We start from the raw sequence: 8,531 nt of genomic DNA on the forward strand, positions 1-8,531 counted from the left end.
TGAAGCCAGCATCATCCTGATGCCAAAAACCCGGCAGAGACACAACAAAAATAAGAAAATTTCAGGCCAATATCCCTGATGAACATCAATGTGAAAATGCTCAATAAAATACTGGCAAAATGAATCCAGCAGCACATCAAAAAGCTTATCCACCACGATCAAGTTGGCTTCATCCCTGGGATGCAAGTCTGGTTCAACATATGCAAATCAATAAAAGTAATCCATCACATAAACAGAACCAATGACAAAAACCATATGATCATCTCAATAGATGCAGAAAAGGCCTTTGATAAAATTCAACATCTCTTCATGCTAAAAACTCTCAATAAACTGTGTATTGATGGAATGTATCTCAAAATAATAAGAGCTATTTATGACAAACCCACAGCCAATATCACACTGAATAGGCAAAAGCTGGAAGCATTCCCTTTGAAAACTGGCACAAGAAAGGAATTCCTTCCCTCTCTCACCACTCCTATTCAAAATAGTATTGGAAATTCTGGCCAGGGCAATCAGGCAAGAGAAAGAAATAAAGGGTATTCAAATAGGAAGAGAGGAAGTCATATTGTCTCTGTTTGCACATGACATGATTGTATATTTAGAAAACCCTATCATCTCAGCCAAAAATCTCCTTAAGCTGATAAGCAATTTTAGCAAAGTCTCAGGATACAAAATCAATGTGAAAAATCACAAGCATTCTTATACACCAATAATAGACAGAGAGCCAAATCATGAGTGAGCTCCCATTCACAATTGCTACAAAGAGAATAAAATACCTAGGAATACAACAACTTACAAGGGATGTGAAGGACTTATTCAAGGAGAACTGCAAACCACTGCTCAAGGACATAAGAGAGGACACAAACAAATGGAAAAACATTCCGTGCTCATGGATTGGAAGGATCAATATCATGAAAATGGCCATACTGCCCAAAGTAATTTATAGATTCAGTGCTATCCCCATCAAGCTACCATTGACTTTCTTCACAGAATTGGAAAAAACTACTTTAAAGTTCATATGGAACCAAAAAAGAGCCCACATTGCCAAGACAATCCTAAGCAAAAAGAACAAAGGTGGAGGCATCATGCTACCTGACTTCAAACTATACTACAAGGTTACGGTAACCAAAACAGCATGGTACTGGTACCAAAACAGAGATATAGACCAATGGAACAGAACAGAGGCCTCAGAAATAACGCCACACATCTACAACCATCTAATCTTTGACAAACCTGACAAAAACAAGCAATGGGGAAAGGATTGCCTATTTAATAAATGGTGTTGGGAAAACTGGCTAGCCATATGCAGAAAACTGAAACTGGACCCCTTCCTTACACCTTATACAAAAATTAATTCAAGATGGATTAAAGACTTAAACATAAGACCTAAAACCATAAAAACCCTAGAAGAAAACCTAGGCAATACCATTCAGGACATAGGCATGGGCAAAGCCTTCATGACTAAAACACCGAAAGCAATGACAACAAAAGCCAAAATTGATGAATGGGATCTAATTAAACTAAAGAGCTTTTGCAAGGCAAAAGAAACTATCATCAGAGTGAACAGGCAACCTACAGAATGGGAGAAAATTTGTGCAATCTATCCATCTGACAAAGGGCTAATATCCGGAATCTACAAAGAACTTAAACAAATTTACAAGAAAAATACAAGCAACCCCATCAAAAAGTGTGTGAAGAATATGAACAGACACTTCTGAAACGAAGACATTCATGCAGCCAACAAATATATGAAAAAAAGCTCAGCATCACTGGTCATTGGAAAAACGCAAATCAAAACCACAATGAGATACCATCTCATGCCAGTTAGAATGGCAATCATTAAAAAGTCAGGAAACAACAGATGCTGAAGAGGATGTGAAGAAATAGGAATGCTTTTACACTGTTGGTGGGAGTGTAAATTACTTCAACCATTGTGGAAGACAGTGTGGCGATTCCTCAAGGATCTATAACGAGAAATACCATTTAACCCAGCAATCCCATTACTGGGTATATACTCAAAGGATTATAAATCATGCTGCTATAAAGACACATGCACACGTATGTTTATTGCAGCACTGTTCACAACAGCAAAGACTTGGAATCAACCCAAATGCCCACCAATGATAGACTGGATAAAGAAAATGTGGTACATATGCACCATGGAATACTATGCAGCCATAAAAAAGGATGAGTTCATGTCCTTTGCAGGGACATGGATGAAGCTGGAAACCATCATTCTCAGCAAACTAACACAGGAACAGAAAACTAAACACCACACGTTCTCACTCATAAGTGGGAGGTGAACAATGAGGACACATGGACACAGGGAGGGGAACATCACAAACAGGGGCCTGTTGAGGGGTGGGGGGCTAGGGGAGGGATAGCATTAGGAGAAATACCTAATGTAGAGGACGGGTTGATGGGTGCAGCAAACCACCATGGCAAGTATATAGCTATGTAACAAACCTGCAGGTTCTGCACATGTATCCCAGAACTTAAACTATAATAACAACAAAAACAAAGTATTACTCCAACCAACAGTATCCCTTGCTATATACCAAGGCAATTTTAACATGCTCAAATAGTCACCTGCTAAAATGTGAACATTCCACAACCAGTAAATTCCACAAAAATTTCAAAAAGATTTTTCTCTGCAGACAAAATAAACATTGCAGCATGAAATGTACTTTGTGAATTGAATAATTAGATGCCGGATACCAAAGGGCCAAGATAAAAATAGCGGCATCCACCAGGCTTCCTACATTCTTTATGATAGACTAAGCTGGCAGCCTGTACGGGACTGCACTAACATGAAAAATTTGTTGCCACTAATCCTGTTCCTGCAGGCAGAAAATTCTCTTTGTTTAGCTTCAGAGTGAGAAAACTCCACCATCACCTAAAGTCCATCTTGTACAGTTAAAAATAAAACTCGTCAAATAGGGATTTGCTGCATGACCCTGACCTGTGCACAGCTGCAGGCTTCTCCGGGCAGGAGAACAAATGTCTACATGGGAAGAGAATGCACACTCTGGCTGGATCAGGGGAGAGTAGACGCTCATGTGGGAAAGTTCAGGCAGGAATGCCTGAAGGTTGGAAATAATTCTATAAAGTAAATCACACCATACGCCTCTGTCGGCTACACAAATGCACCTGTGGCCAAACAGAACACCGTGTGGCTCTTCTGTCCATGCACAAGTAGAGAGACAAAGTCTGGGCCTTCACTTCTCTCCTGTCTCTTTCCCATCAATGTGCTCCCAATTCCTGCGTAGGGACTTGGTTCAAGCTGCGCATCCTCAGAGAGGCTTTTTCTAAACATCTTGCCTAGAGTGGCCTCTGGTGCATTTTGTAAGCCCAGGCTTGTATTTGTTAATAGGTAACAGGAGCTCCACAAATCCCCTTACCCTGCGTCTTGCTTCCTTCCAGCTCCTGTGTGTCCTGTCTGGAGGGAGATTCTAATCTCCCAGCAGCAGGGAGGCACATCTTCTGTTATTCCCACAGTTTAGTACAGCACTCCTATCAAACGGCTACGTAGTAAAATCTGATGAAGGACTTAGCAAATTACCTTCTCATAGGATTCATTCCTGAAAAAACAAGGCCTCCTTGCATGAGAAGTGGATCTTGGGGAACACTGAAATTGGGTGGGAGCGAGAAAAAGGATTAAACACAGGAGGTTAGAGAGGAAGAGGGAAGGAACGACTGGCCTTCCCCCAGAAGAGCTCAAGGAGGACCTCTGAACTGAATGCAGCATTTCAGGGTCGCGCAGAGGAGAGGAGGCACCGAGGCAATCCAGGAAGGAGCAAAGACTCGCGATCCGGAGAGAATGGTGGCACTGAATGCACAGTGAGGAGGGGGTTTCTGGAAGAAACGTGCCAAATGTTGAACAGAGAGTGAGGCAAAGTGAGCATCTCTGGGTGTGTGTGAGGGGGGCATTGAGATAGACGGAAAGTAAGATAGTGGAAGGGACCACAGTTGCAGCACAATCAAGGCTATTTGCTGACACTGAAGGAGAACTGTTAGGCAAGTTTCCCCGCGCTGCATTTTTGTCCTAAATGCCACCCCAGAGTGGTATCTTCCCAAACCACACCCAGCTCTGACGCATGACGGCTGACACCTGAGTTTCCAAGGTCTCGTGGTGATTAATATGCTCATTTCCATGGTGATATTTTTTGGATCTTCACCTAACTCTCCTTTAAGGGTAGAATAAGGACTAGTTAGATAATTCCCTCGAATTCCAAAGTTATTCCAAATTCTCAGGTAATCCAAGTTATCACAGCTGCACTCAATTCTCCCATCCACTGCTGGCTATTCCGGGAGCAGCCTTCCCTGATCACCTAGGAGGGACCCAGGATAGAGCCTGGCTTCACTGGGGGACCCCAAGGTACCAGCAGAAGATGTGAGAGGGAAGCAGTCTCCTTCCAGGACCTTTTCTCTGCTTCTGGTAAGGCCTGACACCTAGGCAGTCACATGCATGGGGCAAGAGTGCTCTCTGCTTAGACAGTCAGTGACTACAGCCAGGAGCTAGAGCATTTTGAGGGGCACCCCTCACCAGGGATGGGAGAGATGGGGAGGTGCCAGTGCCATCACCAATCACAAATTCTCAGATTGGTTAATTTCTTTGACAGTTCATTTTAATGCTTTGTACATGATGCTGAGACATCTAAAATAAGACAGCTTTTCTCTCCTCGTTTTTTATTAGGAGAAAAGGGGAAAGCAATCAGAATCCATTCTTCTCAGCACTTGGGCAAAGCACACATTAAAGCACCTCCACGTCAGATTCCCTTTCCTCCTCTGCAGTGCTGTCCGTACTTCTCCAAAACATTCCCCAACTATCATCCCTTCTAGGAATGTACTCCAGAATATGCCCTTGAAGAGGACAAAAGGCATAAGCCCCACAGTCACTAGCATGTGCTAACATACTCATGGGTTCTGTCATCCTGGGTTCATCCTGTTATCATCCTGGGTTCTGTCAAAAATACATTAAGTAGATGTAGTCTTCATCCTCAGGAAATGTATAAGCCAACACAGGAATATAGTTTTCAAGGTTTGCTCATCCCCCTGCCTCTCTGGTCCCTGCCCCTAGCGGTGAGGAAATGGCCCAGGTGGCTGTGCCTTGGCTTCCCACGCTCGGCCTGCGCTCCTAGGCTTTTGCCGCTTCACCTCTTTTTGGTTTGGTGACCATATTCTTCAACCCCAGTAAGACACTGGGATCTATTTTCATAGATCCCTATATGTATATTTTTTGGGGGACAGGGTCTCACCCTGTCGCCCAGGCTGCAGTAAAGTGGCATGATCATAGCTCACTGTAACCTCAAATTCCTGACCTCAAGCAGTCCTCCCATCTCAGCTTCCCAAAGTGCTGAGATTATAGGCATGAGCCACCACACCCAGTGATCCCTCTACTTTAAGAGGAAAACAGTCTAAAGCAAGTTATTAAAAGGTGAACACTCATATGGCCATCTGTATTAGTGTTCTATTGTGACTATTAGTAAGAATAAAATACTATCTTTATGTGAAAGCTTACAGGAAAATCTGAGTAGAGAAAAGAAAGGTAAAAACAAAATGCTAGATTGGGGAAGTTATGCCAAAAGGGACAACTGTGAAATCTGTCAGTCAAGTATAATATCATGACAACTGCTTACATGATACATGTAAGTCAAACTACAAAAGAGGAGCCACTTAGTCCAATTTGAGGCAAGGAACCTAAAAAAAAAAATATGAGGTTAATGCAGAATGTAAACTGCAGAATGTTATACTATTCAGCCTGAAAGTAAGAACTGGTGAAATAAACAAGAAAGAATATTTCATTTTATTAACACTAGGCGGGCACGGTGGCTCACGCCTGTAATCCCAGCACTTTGGGAGGCCAAGGTGGACGGATTGCTTGAGCTCAGGAGTTTTGAGACCAGCCTGGGCAACATGGCAAAACCCGTCTCTACAAAACATACAAAAATTAGCCAGTTGTGGTGGCGTATGCCCAGAGTCCCAGCTACTCGAGAGGCTGAGGCAGGAGAATGGCCCAAGCCCAGGAGGCAGAGTTTGCAGTGAGCTGAGATCACACCACTGCACTCCAGCCTGGGTGACTGCGTGGGACTCTGTCTCAAAAAAAAAAAATCATTTTACTTTTATGTTCAGTTGGACTTTTTGAAAATGGGCTATGTTAACTACTAGAAAGTATAAGATCAGTAACTAGTCGAGGAGTCTACAACTTCATATAGTAAGTGGCAAAATGTTTACATAAATAAATCAGGTTCTGCATGGGCCCCTGCAATGCAGATGCTTGTTGTCTAGTCCATCTGTGATCTGTGGTGTATTTTGGCTCCTTCGCTTTAGGAAGAAATTAAGAAATGAAGAAGCAAGTGACATTCGATGGGAAAAAAAAATAAACACAAACTATTCTTAGAGTTTGGTCATGGCCTGAGGGCCATGATACAGTAATTACATAAGAAAAGTCAATGAGAAAAAAACCCAGCATGAAAAACTGAAATCCCATAGCCTGAATGGAAGCCTAGTGTGGGGAACTGCTAAGGGATTTATGAAAATACCCTGGAACCCACTTCAGCATGTCGGCCATCAGATCGCCGTGTCTCTCCTATGTTTCAGAAAGTTCCTTTTTATGGAGCACTACTTCAGTGATTAGAAAGGTGTGTTTCCTAGTGAGGGGTGCTGAAAGGTCCAGGAAACAAACCATCTTCTAGGTCCAAAATTGCCAGTCACTAATGTGTTAGGAAACAAGGGAGGAAAAGCAGGCACCACACCTCTCAGGCCTCCCCGTTAGCACAGATGATAGACTTAGATACCTGTCCTTCTCTAGACTTTTATATTTTATTTACAGTAACTATCCAAAATTAACTTGGGACACCCAACATGAAGTGGCAAAGAAAGTGCAATAGACAACAACTACTACACCATCTATATAGTCTTCTTTACCTTTTTTAAAAATAGAGTTTATTTTAGAGCAGTTTTAGGCTCACAGAAAAACTGAGTGAAAGGTACAGAGATTTACCATATATCTCCAGCCCCCACACGTGCATAGCATCATCAACATCCCCACCAGAGTGGCATTTTGCTACAATTGATGAGCCTATATTGACATATCAGTATCACCCAGAGTCCATAGTTTATATCAGCATTCATTCTTGGTGTTGTACAGTCTATGAATCTGGACAAATGTTTACTGACATGTATCCACCATTATAGTATCACACTTAGTAGTTTCACTGCCCTGGAAACCACTGATCTTTTTACTGTCTCCATAGTTTTGCCTTTTCTGAATATCATATACTTGGAATTACACAGTATGCAGCCTTTTTAGATTGGGTTCTTTAATTTAGTAACATGGATTAAGTTTCCTCCATGTCTTTTCATGGCTTAGTAGCTCATTCCTTTTTATAACTGATTAATATTCCATTATCTGGATGTACCACCATTTATTTATCCTTTCATCTGTTGAAGAACATCTTGGCTACCTCTTCATTACTTTTTTTAAAAATAGGATTTAAAGATACGGTGAGGAGTGAAAAAAAACAAACAAAAACATGGCAAGAGCAACTCAGGCTACCCATCAAGAACTATAAAGAATCTCTTTAGTGCTTTCTACTTTCATCACTCCTTTTCCCAAGGTGATTGCTTCGTGTTCATCCGCCAACTCTTGATATGCAAGGTAATTTTCGCCAGGGTCTTCTTCCTGAAGGATCTTGTCATAAGTAGAACAGTATTATAAGTATATATTAATAACCTATATATACATATAGTTATATATTAATAACATGTTAGCTTTTAACTGAAAACTAAAGTTTCAGTTTTTGTGTAAAGAAATTCTCCTCTCAGGAATGTTTGCATTTTAACAGAAGGAACAAATTTCAGACTAGAAATTTCCAACACTATAGCAGCCTGTTTGGGAAAATCAAGTGGTATTTGGAAACACGAGTGTTTTTCTGGTGTCTCTCAAATTACTCCAAACTGGGATTCACCAAGGCTCTGATTTATTTATCTCTATTAAGACTTCACTTACTGCCTGGGCATAGTGGCTCATGCCTGTAATACCAGCACTTCGAGAGGCCAAGGCAGGTGGATCCCTTGAGCCCAGGAATGTGGGACCAGCTTGGGCAACATGGTGAAAGTCTGTCTCTACAAAAAAAAAAAAAAAAAAAATTAGCTGGGAGTGGTGGTGCATGCCTGTGGTCCCAGCTACTCTAGAGACTGTGGTGGGAGGATCCCTTGATCCCAGGAGGCAGTGGGTGGTGATCCCAGGAGGCAGATTGCAGTGAGTGGTGATCTTGCTACTGCATTCCAGCCTGGGCAACAGAGCAAAACCCTGACTCAAAAAACAAACAAAAAAAAGACTTAACTTACTAAAGTTAAGAATTTGGATCTAGACATCCAAATTCAACACTCTTTATTTGTTTAATATTTAAATGCTTTTAAAGGAAGAAGTTGCCAAGATCTTATCCTTTATAACTGATTCTCAACCGGGGTGATTTTGCCCCATATCCTGAGGACATTTGGGAACAGATGGACGTATTTACGGTTAT

General features: G+C 41.8%; 1 long non-coding RNA gene across 1 annotated transcript; it reads right to left on the reverse strand.

The window, feature by feature from the left end:
* Positions 1-6,922: 6,922 nt before the first annotated feature.
* LOC124902437 (uncharacterized) lies at positions 6,923-8,127 on the reverse strand. Its single transcript, XR_007062156.1, has 2 exons — positions 8,012-8,127; positions 6,923-7,693 (listed from the first exon to the last, which is right to left on the reverse strand). It is a non-coding gene; the product is annotated as an uncharacterized LOC124902437 (long non-coding RNA).
* Between the last annotated feature and the right edge of the window lie 404 nt (positions 8,128-8,531).

This window comes from Homo sapiens, chromosome 10, assembly GCF_000001405.40.
Source record: "Homo sapiens chromosome 10, GRCh38.p14 Primary Assembly".
Lineage (NCBI taxonomy): Eukaryota > Metazoa > Chordata > Mammalia > Primates > Hominidae > Homo > Homo sapiens.